The sequence below is a fragment of the Homo sapiens genome, chromosome 18, assembly GCF_000001405.40.
Source record: "Homo sapiens chromosome 18, GRCh38.p14 Primary Assembly".
In the NCBI taxonomy this organism is placed as follows: domain Eukaryota; kingdom Metazoa; phylum Chordata; class Mammalia; order Primates; family Hominidae; genus Homo; species Homo sapiens.
In genome coordinates this window covers 39,621,846-39,641,813 of record NC_000018.10, presented here as the reverse complement: position 1 = coordinate 39,641,813, position 19,968 = coordinate 39,621,846, and the positions used below count along the sequence as shown (strand labels likewise).

Genomic DNA, 19,968 nt, shown 5'->3' with positions numbered 1-19,968 from the left:
CCTCCCAAAGTGCTGGGATTACAGGCGTGAGCTACCACACCTGGCCCCATCCTGACTTTTATGAAAGTGATTCCTAATCAGTTTTGGTATTCAACAATGTCATCATCCCTTCAAGTTCACAAGAAGGTCTTTACTGATACTCCAGAAAAAGTCAGATCCGTCCTGTTACTCCTTGTACTTACTCTTTGAAGAATTATTTCTAGTCTGGTTAAATAATACATGTTTGACTATCTCAAGTAGATTGTTCAGTTGAAAAGGGCAGGGACCTTATTTACCTTGAACCTCTCTATCCCTGGAGTCTGGCTCAGTGCCTGGTACATAGTGAGCACTTAATAGATTTGTATCAAATACAGAATAAAAGAACTTGAAAACTTAATAGATTTGTATCGAATGCATGTATTCCATTGGGATATGACAAAGTACTCCTAAAAAGAGCCACTGGCAGTTCTCTATAGGAGTTCAAAGACATCATAATATTCTTCTACACATTTTTTGAGATCTTACATAGCTCTCCTGACTTTCTGTCTCCAGGGTTCTTATGACCCTCCGTCCGTACCTCCAATTACTGCACTTCCTGCCCCATCTTGTAAATCATTTTTCTAATGTTCAGACTGAGATTCTCAAAGGGCACACTGAACACATTGTCTTTTGTAATCTTTTAGGTATGTCACAGGAGTTATATTATATTCTTAATAGATTTTAGTTCATAATATTTATGCAAATATAATGTTATTTGCCATTTCTAACCTAGAAAGAAAAGTTAAGGTGAATTCATAAAATCCTTGTTGTGCACTTGACTTCTGAAGTTAATCAAAACACTTGATTTCAGAAGCAGACCAAAGCAAAACGCAATTTTCATATGATTTCAGAAGCTGGCCAAAGGTACCAGAGATGGGTCAATTTCATATATTTACACTGTATTAAACAAAGCATTTGAATGGGAATTGTGTGATCTCGGAACACAAGAAGCCATGAGTTAAACATGGATTCCTCATGGACCATTATTTATTGTCAAAGAGTTTTTAAGTAAAAGTTAAAATTTGTCCCTTAGTCCAATAGTTTAATGTGTGGTGACCTCTTCCGTTTATTTTTTAGTCATGTTATGGAAAATTTTAATGTAATCATATGGGTTCCTATTTCTTCATCTAGTGCTGAAATATTGAAGATGAACACTATAGTGAAATGGTATCAAGCCAGGCGTAGTGGCTCATGCCTATAATCCCAGCACTTTGGGAGGCCGAGGCAGGTGGATCACCTCAGGTTGGGAGTTCGAGACCACCCTGACCAACATGGAGAAACCTGTCTCTACTAAAAATACAAAATTAGCTGGATGTGGTGGCCTGTAATCCTAGCTGCTCGGGAGGCTGAGGCAGGAGAATTGCTTGAACCCAGGAGGCAGAGGTTGTGCTGAGCCGGAGATCGTGCCATTGCACTCCAGCCTGGGCAACAAGAGCGAAACTCCACCTCAAAAAAAAAAAACAAAATTAGTTCAAAATGTTTTGATGAACTAAAAGAGCCTTAAGAGCTTGAGCAATGGGTAAGGTTTCGGTTAATAGCCTTGATATATTTCAGAAACATCCTTTATTTAGAAAATATATTTCACACATTTTATACTTTTTTACATTAGAAGTGATCTCATAGTTTTAAGTGTGCAAACCTGGTTTTCCAATTTATTTGTAAACTCTTCAAACACCAGTCCCATATCATCTCTTACATCTGTTAAGTTACTTAACACAAAGCAGAGTGTAGAAGAGAGATGTGGTCAATGATTTTTAAACAGCATTAAAGACTTACCTTCTATAACTAAAAAAATCTGTTTTAAAATCTCTTCATTTTAATTCTGCTGTCCCTGAGTGAGATTATTTTCTTCTTTGCTTTTCATGATTTTTTAAAGCAAGTACTCTATACCTATTGCCCTCTTTTCTCCAAGTAGTGTTTGCTAAACAACGTGTATAATTATGTGCAATTTCTTTAACCCCTAATAGCTGGTTTTCACAATCACAACTCTCAGATAGTTTACCCATAAGGGAAGATAATAATGCCTGATTTTCTTAGACAACTGAGAGAATCAAGTAAAATTGTGAATGAAAGATGTTTAAAAGTCTGAAGTATTTTGAAAATAATATAAACTGTTTGGGGGAAAAGGGGATATGAATCCAGAGAAAATATTATGAAATAGAGGCCAGAGACCAGATTTCACTGGCTTTCAATATTAACAAACATAAAAATGTGACACATGAGGCCAAGCTCTCAAAAAAAATGTAATATTTTGGCTACTTTGGAATGATCTCCATTAATAGAGGCTGTAATCCCATATTTAAGGAAAAGCCAGTCCAGTTTCACTCTGGGTAGGCAAACGTCTCTTATATATGCATGTTTCAAAATCCCACCTTTCAAGAGACAAATAGAGAAACTGGGTTTTGCCCGGAGGATGGCCGTAACAATTTTAATGTATCAATTTTCTAAAAGAATTTCACGTTTTAAAGGCCACCCGTATAGGAATGAGGCTTGGATATTACTTCATATGCGGGAAGTTTGAAGATAATGGAATATTTAGTTTTAAGAAGAGAAGACAGATATTTTTGATGATTTTCTTTAAATATATATAAGTTACTATATTTATTCAGGTTGTACCTTATGGTCAGAGAGTTTTCAGAGATAGTTATAATACATAGAGAATACAGCAATTTCAGCTTAATTTAGAAATTAAAGTTTAATAAATGGAGCTGCAAGTGAGTGTCTCAATATGAGCTGTCCATCCCTAAAGAGATGAAAACAGCCAAAATATTAATGTAATCTTTTGTATTGTACAGATCAACCTCCTCATGAGTAGGTGAGCCAAATAAACTCCATGGTTTCTTCTAAAGATAAGACTTAATGTGTTCTGATGAGAACACTCATGGTGAGTCTTGGAGCTCAATGTCAGCTCTGCGTTTTGTAAATATTAAAAGATTTTGGAGCACTGCAAATTACACCCAGACCAAAGTCTTAACATTCCCTTTAGTTTATGAACAATCCTACCTGGCTTATTGCAACATGTGCATTTCCTCCTTGTGATTTAATCAATACCATCTAAAGTGTTTATTTAGCACCTCCCAAGATACTTTATTATTGGATTATTGCAACTGTTAGACATTGTATTCTTAGTCTACTGAACCTCGGCCAGTGAGTTCACCTTTTTGATCTCCAGTTTTTTTAATCTATAAAATAATGTGTTTAGTTCCAATTTCTGTGCCTTAGCATAAGCCTAGTCACCATCAAACACTAGCCATCTATTTAAAGAAAACTGCCATGCTTCGGTTTTAGAACTCTGTTTTGGAATTCCTCTCAGAGTCAATTTGTGAGCAGCACAAGAATATAAGTCTCATTAGGTTATAATCAAATCTTGTTTTTAACCAAAAACTGCATTACCCAGCTTGATCACTCATCTTATTCACTAGACTTGGCTCTGAATGACTTTTAGCTATTTCTAAAAATTGAATCCATCTGCAAGAGATGAAGATTTACCACTATTGAGGCTTTCAAAAAAAAAATGTGCTACAAGCTTTGAAGAAAATTCCAAAAGAGGAATTCAAGCAGTGTTCTAAGTTAGGGCTCCATTATTAAAATAATTGTATAATTGCCCAAGGGACAGTAATCATTTCAAGGTATAAGTTCTGATAGAAAAAAGTAGTGATATTGCATAACAGTCATATTTTATTCACATAAAATACTAAGTAATAACAGCAAGCAGCAGGTGAGTGAGAAGGAACAGAAGTCAAGGGGCAGGGGCTGGTTATCACTTTATACTGAGATAGTCAAAGAAGGTTAAATGGAAAAATAAAATCTGTTCTAGATTTTGAAGGGTGTATATATTATTAGCATCCATTATTATCTCAACTTTAAAACTGCATTTTGTTTCATTAGACAGCAATAGTTGGTAATACTAGTGTCTTAGTTATTCAGGCTGCCATAACAAAATACCTCAGACTGGGCAATTTATAAACAACAGATATATATTGCTCACTGTTATGGAGGCTGGAAGTCTAAGATCAAGGTACTAGCAGATTCAGTGTCTGGTAAGGGCTCGTTCTTTGCTTCAAAGATGTAACATTTTTGCTGTGTCCTCACATGGCAGAAGGGGCAAAAAATCTCCCTCATGCCTCCTTTATAAGGGTATAAACCAAAAGTATCTGAGACAAGTCTCAATCAATTTAGAAAGTTTATTTTGCCAAGGTTAAGGATGCACCTGTGACACAGCCTCAGGAGGTCTTGATGACATGTGCCCAAGGTGGTCAGGGTACAGCTTGGTTTTATACATTTTAGGGAGACATGAGACATCAATCAGTACATGTAAGATGTGCACTGCTTTGATTTGGAAAGACAGGACAACTCAAAGTGGGGTGGGAGGAGGCTACCAGGTTATATGTAGATTTAAAGATTTTCTGATTGGTAATTAGTTGAAAGAGTTATTAACATAGAAACGAATGTCTGGATTATAATAAGGGGTTGTGCAGGCCAAGGTTTTATCACGCAGATGAATCATCCAGGCACAAACATTCAGACCATAGCACCTAGTTACCTCTCACTCAGAAAAGTTAAATTCTGAAGAACTAGATAAAAGACAGTGAAGCTTTGCCTAGGAGGGATCTGATAAAGCCAAAGTCAGGGGCCACAGTTCACAGTAGGATGAAGTGGGTGGGCAACCAGAGGGATGACCTTTGTTCTTTCTGCCTCCCTGGCAACATGTGCAGTTCTCCTGCCTGTCAGGACATTTTCCTAAAGAGGTAAAATCTCATCCCCAAAACAACTGCCACCACCAAGACTGCCCATAAATGATATCAATAAGAAACTGAAGCAAGGTCTGTTCTGCTTGTCAGGGAGGCAGAAGAGGACTTCTGGAACCCAGATACAGGATCATTATCTGTTCTGAATATCTATTTGGTTCTGAACCCCTACTTTCCTACCCAAATTTACAGGGTTTTGTTTTGCTTTGTTTATTGTTTCTAGAAAGATGCTATGAGACACTATGGAATAGGACTTTTACTTCTGACTTTTATAACCATACCAGAATAACGGCTACCAAGTGAAAAGATTATCAGGCATTTAAAAGTCTAGAGATGGGTTCACAAAAGAAGATTGGAGATGATTAAAATGACCTTCCTTCACTTAGAAGTGTCACTCAAGTGAAATCTATTTGCTTTTTCTATGCCTCAAACAACACAGGGATGGAGAATGTCAGTAAACCAGTGTGTCACATGTAAGTAAATCTCTCAGTGCAGTAAAGGTCATTTGCAACTCATGTGCCTTGGTATTTGCCTTCCAATACACTAGAAGTAATAACATACTCTTCTAAGGAAATTTAATCATATTAATTAGAATTTAGGCAGATCAAAATTTTTTAATCTAGTATCTGGAAACTGAAAAATATGTAATACAAAAAACAGATAGTTGTGTCACTTTCCATAGATTCCATAGTGAATCTATGTTTGCTAAATTATGGTTAAGAAGTTCTTGAAAAGGAGATCAGAGCTTAGTGTAGAATAGTTTCACCTTGTTAGAATTCAGTCTAGCACTCTGGTATTTTTTTTCTTGGCCCCTTTACCAAATTCTTAATCTGTAGAAAATATGTCAAAAATGAGTCAATAACAATGCTTGCTGCTGAAACAGGAGACTCAACAACAAATACTGCCCAACTGTCATTGTTTAAGCTACAGTTTACTTATGAGCAATTGAATCTCATTATTTCAGCCAAATTATGTTTTACTGTAGTGAGAAGCCAAAAATATAATAATAATTTAAACTGGTTTTTTTTTTCTACACTTCAGACTTTAGTGATATGGAAAAACATTGAGCTCTCAAGAAAACAGAAATGTCTTTTTACCCAAGAGGAATATCCCAGGAATAATAACCAGGAAGTGTTATTGACCTAGAAGATAGGGAAAAAAATTGCAGTTTAGCCAGATCTTTATCATCCATATAGTTACTTAGAGAGGGACTGTTACAGTACAGAAAATAAACAATGGATACTTTTGAAAGTTATATGTGTTTAACAGAAAAATGCAAAATATGTTATATCTTTCAGAATATTTGTCTTACTAAATGTCTAAGCATTATAATTAACACTAATAAAACTACTTACATTGAGTGTGGCAATGCACTAAAATATTTGCATGGATTATCTCCTTAAACTGTTATGAAAACACTGTGAAGTTCTACAGATGAGAAAACTGAGACTCCAAAGAATTGAGTAATTTGGTTGAGGTTACTCCCTCAGGTAATAAATGGGTTACACTGCTGTCTTAGTAAGCTGGAATATAATTTGAACTGGCTTAGAGTTAAAAAGAAAAACAAAACAAAAGGAATGTATTATTTCATGAACCTGAGCAGTCCCAGAAATTTATATTTTAACTGGGCTTTTAACTGAGCTTTGCTAGTCAGAATGGGCTAGGTTCCATTGCAATAACAAACAAACCCCTAATCTCAGGGACTTTGAACAATTAAAGTTATTTTTTTTTCTTTCCTAAATATACAAATGTAGTTCAGCTAGAGGCTGACTTACCATAGGAAAAGAAAGTATGTTGGACTGATCCCCTTGAAACTTCCACCCAGAAGTGAAATCCATGCTTCTATTTATTCTTCTTTAGATACAACACATTTTGTGGCCATATCTAAACTCAAAGTTATAGGGAACTATTTAGTGAATAGTATTTATGCAAATATTCTGAAGACTTCATTTTGAGACACAGATACCACTTTTTGATTCTGGGTTAGTTTTTTCATTAACACTTTACAAACCTGCCTTTGGTTTTTCTCTATAAATTTGGATATCCGTTATTGATGCTGAATTCATCTTCCTCATTTCTAGGTATACCAGAAATTCTAACTAAGTTATTTTTCTCCAGCTAAGAAGTCAAAAGGCATTTCCTGCTCAATAATTTAGTTGCTTTTATTGCATTTGTTAACACTCAACTTGTTCCAAAATCATTCAGTGTACCCCTAATGTACAATAAAATCTGATACTTTTTAGAAGCCATTCAGCAATCAAACAGGGCAAAAAAAAAAAAAATGAAGAAAGGTAACTTTATCATCTCAGCAGAATACAACTACCAGCTATTTTCTGAAAGTTTGTATATAAATTAATTATTTGTAATATTTTCTATTTTTCCATTGGGATGATACTAATTATAGTGACTGGCATTTCTGGAAGACTATTCCAATGCTTAATTAACTCATTAGGCTGTATGTTCAAAATAAAACAATGTAAAATAAAACAGTGTAAAATATAATGTCTTTACTACACTAGTAATTCAATAGAACAAAGAATGTAAAATTCAAATAATATATTTGTTATGTGTATTTTATGCTAACACTGAGCAAGTCTTTTTAATTAGAGAAGAATGAAGAGGTAGGTAGAAATTTTGCTGATATTTCAAAGGGGACTTATGGGCATTTCCATGGGTTTAAATGTTATTGGCAGTGGATCTCAATTATTCCTAATTGCTGCTTCAAATTGTATGATGTCCTTGCTTTAATACAGGTATATCACTAACGATACTTTAAAATTTCAATTTATGATTAGCCTATTGTTGGAATCATGATTGCAATAATGAGAATGAGAATAAAATAGTTAATGAGTGAGAAAAAAAGGAGAGAGAAAATGTACTGTGTTAACTGGGACAGAGTTTTAACATAGCAGGGGAAAAATAAAATTGAACTGGATGCGTTTACATTGTGAAAAATTGTCTCATGGGAAATACCTGAACTATTTCTGGAAAAATACAGAGAAGAAAGAAAAGATGTGGTCTGTGCATGATCCATTGGAAAAAAAAATAAAGTTGATGTGGTATAGAAACATTTGAGTCAGAGAAGTTATGTAACCAAAGACAGGAGAAAAGGGGAGAATAGAATCACTTGCTGGGTTTTTAAAGTAATGAGTCTGAGTGGGACTTGAGGTTGTGAGGTGACAGGAGGGAGTGAGAAGATAAAGGAGGAGACAGTGAGAATGAGCTGAAAAGGAGACCGAAACATGTTTTTGTTAATATTTAAGAATTACACAGGCTAAATGTCATCTCCCTACTTAAGCTTCCTGAAGATGGGGTAGAAATTCCCACTCCACAGTCATATCCTTTTTAATGGACCTAGCCCAGAATCTCTATCTGCTTTTTATCTGTGGATCAATTATCTGGCAACTTTCTGAGTTAGCTCAAGTTTTTTGGACTTCACTACATTATGCTCTCATCTCCCTTCTTCTTCTGCCTTATACCAATCCCCTCATCAGGCTCAATCCTAGGGAATTTCCCCAGAGTAGATCACAGATTAGAAGCAAAATATTAACAAACACAGAGGCAGAAAAAGTTGGAATGGCAGGGGTCCAAGGAGGACAGTGATTTGATTCAAAAGAATCAAGTATGGATGAGTGACTACTTATGGGTCAGGCACTATACTATGACATTTCACATATAGAATTTCTGTTTAACATCTAGTCAGTATTTTAGTGCTTATATTCTCAGCAACCATAGATAGGAGCTAGAGAGCTAACTGGCACAGTCTTAGGTTCAAATCAGAGGAGGCAGAAACCAGAGTAGGATGATGACAGGTGGAGACCGCTGGAGGGTCCGCCTGAGGGTCAAATCTGGGGTCTAAAAATGTACCTTTTGTGTCCCTGTCTTTTCCCACATCTCCCACCTTGAATACCCCTTGAGGAACAATTACATATCAAAGCTTGCTCTTAAAGCCTTCATCATGTTGGAATGTAAGGGAAAATCAGCCCTAGGTGCCAGCAGTCTAAGAATACCAGGTAATGTCTTTTTAATTGAACCCCTAGGATAAGTAAATTCACTTATTTATATATTATTCGGCCACGTATTGAATATCTTACATGCCAAGCACTAGGCTAGGCTTTATGGATGCACATTAATAGGAGCTAAGTGGCACACTGGAATTTCAGACATTAGTCAAGAAACCTGCGTTTGGAGGATGGAGCTAGCAAGGGCTTCTGTCTCCTCTGAAATCAGAGGACAATACCTTATTTCTCAACTTCCACTTTCTTGATTACATGTCCAGGGACATGAATAGTTAAAAACAGTAAGTCCAATTGCCCCGTATAGGTTGGCTATACCTGAAACAATGGAAGAAAAAGTACATGCATGAACTCTGAAGGCAGAAGGCTATAGAGAGACTCACAAAAGTTTAAGGAATCCATGCAGCAACTGGCTCACACAGATGCAGCAGGAACAAGTCTACACTACAAGGAGTAAGTCTAAACTTTAAAACTACAATAGACCTTCCAAGAGTTTGGTAACAAGGAGAAATACATGAATGAAATATAGTTTTATCCAATAGTCAGAAATTCAAAATACCATTTTATATATGTTTAAGAGCACATATATGTTGATGAGTAAGAATCTCATGAAATTTTAGACAAAGTGATATCCTGAGACACCCTAGTTGGTTCCTGGATCATAAAGCTATGTGTCTGAGCTCCTGTGCAACAGGGGCAGTGGGAAGGAAAGTCTAAGAAGCCCAGGAATGGCTGCATGAGAGTTCAGCTCAGCCTGAATAGGTCATGTGGTAGGTCTGCTCTGTTCCAGCAATATCACCTATCTTCTTCTGTCACTTAATTGTATCCTAAGACATTCATTCTTCTCCGGTAGCAACATCCACAACCACCACTGCCACTTACCCTAGAAGTGCAGATATTTACTAGGAGGAGCAGCAAGCTGACACAAGTCAGTCTGAGGTGGTGAATTAGGTTATCAGAGAGCTATCCTCCCAAAGAGCAAGCTCACCTCTCAGAGTAAGGGACAAGGCCAGGAAAGGCCAGGCTTGGAGGCTGTGCTGAGAGGCCAACTTGCTCTTACTGGGCTTCTTGTGTCAATTAAGCTAACATTTGAAGAAAGCAGGTAGATCAGTAGCTCACTGGTTCTTCAAGGCTAGTCCCCAGACTGGTGGCATCTACATTGCTTCAGAACTTCATAGAAATGCAAATTCTTAGGCCACACTTCACAACTGCTCAGTGAAAAAACCTGGGGTTGAGGCCCAGCAGTTGTGCCTGTGCAAGACTTCCAATTTATGTGCAAGGTAAAGACACACAAAACAGGCATTCCCACTGCAGGGCCACCCTATATTTAATGAGTTTCTGATGCTTGCCTGAAATCATGTTTTGATATCCTGGAGGAATGGGCTAGAATAACAGTTTCTAATGCTGGGGGTTGGGTGGGGTGTGTGAGGTGGAGGGGGAATGTGTGTGTTGTTGAAGAAAGCCCAGAAACAAAAGAATAGAAAAGGAAGGGAGACAAACATATTACCATTTTTAAGTTTAGCCCTAGTTTGACTTTAGTCTTTTCCATGATAGAACTTTACACTGGTGACTGTGAGGTTGCAGATGTGGATTAAGGCTGCACTGGAGATGATTTTACCCGGGTTTTTTTTTTTTTTTTTTTTTTTGTCTCCCAAGGCAGTAGCAGCAGGTTAAGCTACTTCCCAATTTGTGAGCTTCCTTCCACCCCAATTTGTGTTTTTCTTTCTTTTTGTAATGAATTCTAATGTACTTACATCTTTCCAGGGATTAGGCCTGACAGCGACATCCCACAATAAAGTGAGCATGAGGTCACACAACAATATATGAAGAAGAATGAACTACAATTAAGCCAACATAATTGCATACAAGCAACACCCTCCAAAGTAGGGAACAATAAATCTTTTGCTCAAAGTAATGAGGACAGGGAGATGAGAACATTGAAACAGCTTGATTGAGCAGTCTTAAAGCTCATAGTGAAAGAAAAACACGTAACAAAAATTGTAATGGGTTCCTAATCCCAAGAAATAAGTCTGTCCCCCAAAATGCAAGACGTTTACTTTCTAAGCTGCATCATTATTGCCAAGCTCTTAATTCCTTCCTGGTTTGTTGTTGGATGAACAGTTGGCCCTACCTTTATTACTGGAGCCAGTGTTCAATTACCAGGGTAATGGTAAGAGACTTATCAAGAATACCAAACCTGAAGCTAATCAGCACAATATTCAAATTAAGTCATGATTCATTCTGTTTATTAGTATTTTCTTTCCAACAGCCAATTGAATGTATACTTACCTTGAAATGATTTTTTAAACTCTCCAGTCCCTACAGATCAGGGACAGGTTTGTGATCAAGTAAATTTTCTTACTGCAAGTCATCTAGAAAACTGACCTGCTCTCAGAAAGGGTGTGTGACTGAAGAACTTGGAAGTCCACACGAAAATGAATATGGTAGTTACTTTTTACGTCTTCCTGGTGGAGGAAAAAAGAGGCTATAATATTGTCAACAATGGAAAAAGAATAGAGATGAGAACTTTTTTCACTTAGAAAGTATTTGGCTACATGGAGATCCATAACAAAGGATGATTTAACTTGGACGGAGTCTATTTGTTCCTATACTATACACATAATAAAAATATTAATAATTAGGACATTAATGAACTACAACTTAATCACTGAGAAAATATTTGGTGAATTTTTACATGAATGTGGCCTAGTCATACACAAGCAAGACATGATATCAGTTCTTTTCCCAAAGAATACATTTTACACTGTAGGGGTGTGTTGGATCAAGGGTAAGACACATGACAAAATCATAGACTAGTTCAATTATGAGCTGTAGATTATCAAATAATAGGGAATCATACAGAGAGAGAAATTACTGTAGAACAGAGAAGCTGTAAATATGGAAAAAGAGTTGGACTTCAACTTAAATGCTTGGCAAAACAGCAAGGAACCTGCTCCCTACTTCTTCCTTGTACTTTTCCTGCAAACTAGGCACCAAGTTTTCAGTCCACTTTAAAACTATTTAGACCATAATTACACCAAGAATTGTATATTATCATATTTGCCTTTTGTAGGCCACTGAGGACATCATCTATAACTCAGTTCTTGTCAGTTGAGAAACTGGTAGAAAAAGGAAGGAGACTAGATGGAACCTTAAGAAGGTGTGCCTTTTAAAAATGTCCCTACAAGGAGAAAAAGAAGAGAGAAAGAGAGAAAAGTACAGAAGAACAGAGATGAAGAGACAGAAAAATAGTGAGAAACAAAGAGGCAGAGAGAAAGGAAAGAAGTCAAAGTATCAAAGGAGAAGGAAGAAAGAGAAGAAGGGCGAAAACCAAACCAAACCAAAACCAAAAGTTGAGGAGAAAAAAAAAAGTCAGGATATTTGAAATGTTTCAGAATGTTGTGTGAATTCTTATATTTAAAAAATACATTCTGTGTGTGTGTGTGTGTGTGTGTGTGTGTGTGTGTGTGTGTTGGTGCTGTCTGACAGATCTCTCGCGTTAGGAATGATTGGTTTTACAACAGTGATTGGCCAGTTATGTTTGAAAACTGGTCTCATGTGGGAAAACTTGCTCTGCTCCCTATACCAGGAAGAGCAGGGTCCTGGAGCCAGAGTTCAGGGCAATGAAAAACAGCCTTGTCAAGAACTCTTAAGGCTTCATGACCCTGCATATTCAAGTCAATAGGTTGTCAGATACAGTGTTTGGTACCTACTAACCTATTGACTTGAATATACCAGGTTAATATAAGATTTTCTTTGGCCCAAAGTGAGTTGACTTCAAAGCCAGTAGCCATAGACTAGAAAGCCAGAGAAAAATGAGGCTGTAAGAACAAAGGAATCTGGGGAACCCTCTCTTACCCTAGAAATGGAGCGGGCATGTGTTAGAAATATTTGTGTTTACTAATTAAATACATATCATTTATTTTTACATCTTTTTTGCTTAACTCAGGGGAAAATGTGCATTATTTAAAAGAACCACACAGAATGAAAACACGAAAAAGAAACCGTTTGTATTCAAATCTTGGCAAATATCCAACTAGCAATAACTTGAAGATTTAATATTATTACATGCAAAAAAAAAAAAAGCCTAATGCTCATCCAAGCATATTTCAATCAAAGCTCTCTCTGGGAACATTCCTACTGACAATACAATTTCGTGCAAAATAAACAATAAGATGCAAAAACTACAGTAAGCAGTTTAGGAAATTACATATCAAATATCTTCCTAAGAGCCTGGGGGTCTTATAAGCAGAAGTTTTGCCTAACAGGTCTCACTGCATATGCAGATTTAAATAATTCACTTGTTTAAGAAATCTCCTATTCTCTGTTTACTCAGGCACTTCAGCAGTAGGTTGTTGCCGGCAGTCATGCCACAAGTCAAAGGGAAAAAAGGTTCTTTTTCTAGTTTTGAAGGGAGTGATATAAAATTAAGTAGTAAGCCTAGGGTTTTGCAGTAAAGTCAGGTAACAATAGTATATTCAGTGAAAATATGTTCTAAGTGTGACTTCAGAAACCAGGGTAATTGCATTTGTCTATTCTCACACTGCTCTAAGGATACATTCAAGACTGAGTAATTTATAAAGAAAAACAAGGTTTAATGGACTCACAGTTTCACATGGCTGGGGAGGCCTCAAAATCAGTGGCAGAAGGTGAAGGAGGGGCAAAGGCATGGCCTGTGCAGGGTAACTGCCCTTTATAAAACCATCAGATCTCATGAGAACTCACTCACTATCACGAGAACAGCATGGAGATAACTGCCCCCGTGATTCAATTACCTCCCACTGGATCCCTTCCACGACACATAGGGATTATACAAACTACAATTCAAGATGAGATTTGGGAGGGGTTACCCCCAAACCACATCAGTAATTCATACATATATGCAAACATAAACACTGAATATTTGTGTGGGCATGTTTAGCTGCGTAGCCAACTGGATAAACTATCTGTCCTAGTATTTCCCAAGAGAGAAATACTTCCCAAGAGAGATGCTGTCCAAGTCACAAGAACAGTGAGTATAGGTCAGCATTGGAATTACAAAATAAGTCTTCTAAATGTTGGTTAATCTTTTCACTACACAAAAAGACCACACGTGGCATTTGATATATACATAAAAATATATATTTTTTATATATATAATTTATACGTATGTGTTTAGGCATATATATTTATAAGATCTTAAATTTGTGTCTGTGTATCCTTTCAGACTCCCAAGTTATTTAGACTTTGATTAAATTGAATAAATCTTTAGTTCTCTCATGCATTCACATATTTTCTCTGATGATTTGGCCAATAATAGCATAATAAAATAAAAAGACAACAATAATAAACTAACCAGATCTCTCCAAAAGAAGAAAGTAACAAAATCAATGTCTGCAACCAAAATAGTAGTGAGATAGCTATTCAAGAGTTTTTGGTCTGAGGATCTATATTGAAATAATCTTGGTATGGACAGGATACAGGGAAATATTGGGTATAAGAGGATGGTTCCCTGGCAAAGGCCCCACCCTCAAGCCTGAAAACCCATGGCCCTAAATGAGAAAAGCCATTCCTGTTTTTGCACCCAAATGTTGCCTTTTGGCCCACCATGCCCACCCACCCCCCATCCTGTACCTACATAAACTCCAAACCCCAGGCTCCACAAGCAGCAGAGCAGCAGAGTGGCATGGCAGAGAAGGAGAAAAGAGAGGAGGCATCTGAATGTTGAGAGGAGTTTGGCTGGGGACAGTCAGAGAGGAGGTAAGCCACAGGAAAGTCAAACTCCAGGGAAAAATCATCTTCCCACTCCATCCCCTCTGCAGCTTTACATCTAGCCGAGAAACACCTCCATCACTGAATAAAATCCCCACATTTGCCATCCTTCAAGTCTGTGTGACCTGATTCTTCCCGGACACTGGACAAGAATTCAGGATGCACTGGGTGTGGGAACCCAAAAAGGATGTCACACTGAGCTTTCACTGAACTGTTTAACATTTAAGCCATTCCGGAATGGCAAGGCTAAAAGAGCACTGTAACACCCCTAGACACTGCCACAGGACGGAGCCTAAAACCACTCACCCAGACTCCTGCACCTGCTCACCTGCATGCTCCCCCTCCTATAAGGACTTTGAGCATGGGATGGACAAACAAATGAGCCACACCCCTGTCTCATGTGCCATGAGGTGGTCAGGGAACTTTCCTGTTTCAATCTGATTATAAAAATTCTTAAACTTTAAAAAGATGCATTTTTATTTTAATCCCATTTTTAAACAAGTTTTAAAATAATCATGTATTGAAGATGATATAAAAACACTTTTTAATAATAACCTCTATTTCAGATAAATATAGCCCACAGAGTCTAAAGCATTGTTGATAACAAAAGCGCATAATAGAGCTGAACTTAGTTGGATGTGTTCTTTATGATTTCCAGGCTGTATGCCACACTTTCAGTTTTTCTCTATACAAATCTCACAGATATTTCAAGATATCTACTTTCTTTATTAAAAAAAAGTACACTGTGCCTAGGACAGTGGGAAATTCAAAGTACAAGAAATCTTCTTGCCTCTAGTAGAGTTCAGAGTCTTAATGGGATAAAATGTCCTGTTTAGATGAAAAGTTAATTTTCAGTTCAAAGCCATATGCCATTCAGCCAAAAGACTATCTTAGAGGAAAAGCCAGATTGTTCTGGGAATCAAGGAAGCTTTCCTTGGAAGATGGACTTGTGAGGAATAGACACTGATGAGAAATGTGAGCTTTCATTTGAAAAAATTGTCTGGAAGGATGAAGCCTAAATTGTTAACAGCAATTTCCTCTGATGAGATTTGTACAATTTTGGTGTTTAAGTGAGAATAGGCTTAAAGTTTGTTCTGTATATGTCTGCAGTTATTGAGGTTTTTCACAATAAAATATATATTTAGATATTACTGTTGCCATTATAAGAAAAATAATGTTTGGGTTTACAGACTGGATGGATGAGTTGAACAAAGCAAGAGAAGCTAGATCTTCTAGCTTCACACACAAGCTAGAAGCTAGATACACACAAGCATCAGAATGGTGAAGAAAGTATAGTGCTTAGAGTCCACGGTGACAGGAGCAGAGTGTGGTGATAGGATGGAGTTTAAGAAATGTTATACTATAAAATTGGGTCTGGAACTCATTGCCTAAGGTAAGGCACATGATGGCCGATGTTTATTCATTTAAAAAGTCATCATGATTTTCAATAAATATGTATTCAACATCTACTCTATCATTGTTCTTGGGGGAAAATAGCTCAGCTTTCTTGGAACGTGCATTTCATGGAGAAAGAGGGGACAGTAAGTAAATCAATGGTTAAACATTTTAAAATCAGACCAAGTTATGTTCAGTAAAGAAAATTAAGTCAGGGGATGTGAAAGAGATGAAATGTGTAGCTACCATTGCTGATGGCTCAAAGAAAGTCTGTCTCAGAGGATGATATGAGCTATGATATTAATGATGATAAATTATAATGAAGGAAAATGGTGTGAGTCTGGCCTAAATAAGGTTTAGGTATTGACCAAAATACAATCAATCACCCATGCATAGAGATATAACACACCAATTGAAATCACAAGGCTTCTCAAAAACCTTAAAAATTGGTTTTGCTTTCTTTGACAACTATGTGGACCTAATTAAGGGCAAACTGCCCTCTCAATGGCCTTCATTCAATCAGCTTACCCAAGGGAAAACAACAACAACAACAACAACCAAACAGGCCAATAAATAGCAAACAAATACAGGACTGTGTTTCACAGATAGTCTGCAGTTTTCACTTTTATAAACTCGTCCTTTATCTTTGTTTGGAGAGATGATCTATACAGCATTGAGCTCCCTCACATATGTGCATATTCAATTACACTCCAACTAAGTATCTTTGAGTCATTCCTTGACAATGCTAAAAAGAAACAAATACGCTAAGACGAAATGCAGATATCAGGAGGAGGCACATTCTTGACAGATGAAACAGCTCTATTAGGTAGTAAGGACTCTACCTTAGAATAATTTGTATTCAGATAGAAACTGAGAGTGGAAATGAAGCTGATTAGGTTGGGGTAGGAAGAGGTGTTATCCGTAGTCTTGTTTTGGCTACACAAAGCGTGGATACACTTCAGATTTATATATGGAGAGGGCAAGGATGCAGTAAAATGTTTAAATTTGGTGTTCTGAAAAGAGAGAAAATTAGGATATATGAGTTGAAGAATCACAATATATAGATGCTTTTTAAAGCAATGGGACTAGATGATGTGGAGGGTAAGGGAAAGAGCATGTTGAGGGAAGAGATGGGAATCTACATTCATTTATAACAGCAACAACATTCCTCAACCTCAGAACATGATTAGCACTTAAATCTTATGTAACCTGTATGAAACTGCAAGCCAATATGCAAACAGGTTAGTTAAATCAAGCATAAAGTCACCTTTGTCCTATTTTCATTGGAGTTAACACAATACAAGTCTTGTTCTTCATCCTCAGGCTTACATGATTTAAACTAATCATTTCATTTAATACATAGTTAAGTGTATCCTGGCATAATAATTATCATTAATCAAACTTAAAAGGAAATGTTTGTTACTTGGAAATTAGGTTTTATTCTGGCACAGTATCTTTAACTAGCTGTCCAGATGTTAAAATTGATTTCTGGAAGATCTAAGTTGAGATCTCAAGGCATATAAACCTCTAATTCTTACTGTGATTGGTAATCAGTAATTCTCAATTTCTTAAATTAATTATTTAATTCTGCCAAGAAAAGTGATCTTGGGATTCAAATAAACGTGACTTTGAATCTGAATACTATACATTACTGATGACTTTAGCTAAGTTACTTAACATTTTATGAACAGTTTTCATACATCTAAAATGGTAGTGATAATGCCTACACCCTAGAATTGTTGTGAGAATTAAATAAAATAATGGATGTATGAAGGGATTAAGTATGTGACTGGCACATAGTAAGGGCTCAGAAAATGCTATTATTTTGTTAAAGTCAGAAAAAAGGAAACGTACTATCAGGGATTCAAGTACTTGGATATAAGCAATAGTTTACAAACATTTAGTTTCTTTGAATCTTGCGTTGTATTTTAAAACTGTGTGCATTTTTAACTTTTCCTCACAACAATCTGTTTGTGTTAACATGAAATTCTCCATCAAATAATAGGTCATATTGACCTTTAAAGAAAAGAGTATGTAAAATTCTACTTCCTAACACCTAGAACACCATGCTTCAAAACAAGATGCTGGGATAGAGGAAAGCTCATTTAACAGTCTTAATATTGTCAGTTAGTATTAATGTAACATTCATATTTGTGAGAGATAACATTGACTCCCAGAGGAAAGAATGAAAATACCCTAATATTTGCCATATTTACCCATCTAAATCTTATGATCTGAATCTCAGTGACCTTTATTGATCAGTCATAGTAAGCCTAGGAATACAGGAGTGAAAGCTTATTAAAAAGTTTTACAGTAGGAATGAAAAGAAGTAAAGTAAACATGGAAAAGGGCCAAGTGGGTGACTTGAGAGATCCACGTGCTCTCCATCCGACCCTTGACTTGGGGTTTTATACATTGGCGTGGTTCTGGGGTTTGCATTTCATCTCCCTTGATTTTTTTTTGGGCTGGCTATCTGTACATACGTGCAGTGGTCTGTCAGCACTTGAGAGGGGCTGCATGCACAGTGTTTACTGCAATTGTGCACATGCTCATTTGAGGCATTTTTCCCTTACCAGTGGAGTGTTCCTAGAGGAAGGTCATATACCAATTAAACTCTACCATTTTGCCTTTTACTGTGCATACTTAAGCCTGCTCACCAAACTCCTGAGATCTTAGGAAGCTACTGATCACCAGTTTCGCGTGTTTTCTGTCTTTTGGGAGACTGCCATTTCCTGGCACCAGCTATGGTTGCCCTTCACGGGGTAGAAGGCCCTCTCCTGCCATGCTCATGTCTGCCTAGCTACCTATTCTAACATTCTGTGCACCTAAAGGTTGAAAATGAAGCAAAATTAATATAATTGAACAGTTTATTTGTGCCAAGGTTGAGGACTGCTGTCCAAGAGTCATAGATTCAAGTAGTCCTGAATATATGCTGCTGTTAGCATTTACAGCAGTTCCAAGTGGATTTTCAAAGAAAAAATGAAGAAGTAGAAGTTAGAGGCAGTTCCTAAAAATTTTTTAAATAAGGTATATTGTTTATTGAAATAATAAGCTGTTGACTATTTATTATTCTTTGTATCATAAATCCCAGGAACATGAAGAAAATAGGTGAGAGTCACATTGTAAAACTTGGGGTAATATTTTAGGAAGTTTATCAGCTAGTCTGGAAACTACACGGAAGGAAAGAAAAAAACCAAATGCCTTTAAACAATTACCCTCCAAGCATGGATGTGTGGGATGAGAGGGTGAGTGAAGTCTCATGCTCATGGTTCTCTGGGCATGAAAAATGTTACATACCTCACATTCCTCAGACTACTTTGAGGAATCTATAGATAAAAATTGGGGCAAAAAGGAAAATTTAAATTCATGTCTGAGCTGGAGAGTAGAGAAAATGGTACAAAGAGACTCATATAAAGAAGGATTCACTTAGGGTTTGGGTTTCTATTCCACACACTGTTAAAATATGCTCTTGGCTGATGGACAAAATGGACTTCTCTTGGCTAACTGAGGTGCTCAAGGTTAAAACAGAACCAGGCAGCCAAGGCTGGGTGAGGAAGGGATCACATACTCTGTATTCTTGGGAAAATGTTTTAAAAGTGTCACAGGACCTCTTTCTGCAATCAAACTAAACCAGTTTCTGTTATTTATCCTAAGATAGATTGCTGGTGAAAATTCCTCAACTGACCACCCACAGACCACCTAAGCCAGTCAATAGAGTCTTGTGATGTCTTGCTTAAGGGCCATCCAACCTAGAGTCTACAACTGATTCCCTTCCATCCTATGGTTTTTGCCTTTATAATAATTTTCTACTCCTTGACTCCTCTTCGGTGTGTATTTTGGTTTGCACTGAAGGCTGCATCTCCCCAGTCTGCAGATTGCTTTTAGAAAATAAAGTTCTCATTTTGCCTCTGTAAATCTCATTGGTATATACTGTAGGAGCAAAGAAAGCTTCCCCTCTGCCCTCTAAAGGTTTGCTGAAAATAAACTGAAAATAGGCAGATTAATAATACAAAAAGGCATACAACATTTATTTAATGTGC

The 19,968-nt window shown here is 36.9% G+C and overlaps 1 long non-coding RNA gene and 1 other non-coding gene across 2 annotated transcripts in view; both read left to right on the top strand.

The window, feature by feature from the left end:
• The window catches only part of MIR924HG (MIR924 host gene), a 545,072-nt gene that overhangs the window by 110,182 nt on the left and 414,922 nt on the right, over positions 1–19,968 (top strand). The window lies entirely within an intron of this gene.
• MIR924 (microRNA 924) lies at positions 19,639–19,691 on the top strand. The gene has a single exon (NR_030628.1). It is a non-coding gene; the product is annotated as a microRNA 924 (primary transcript).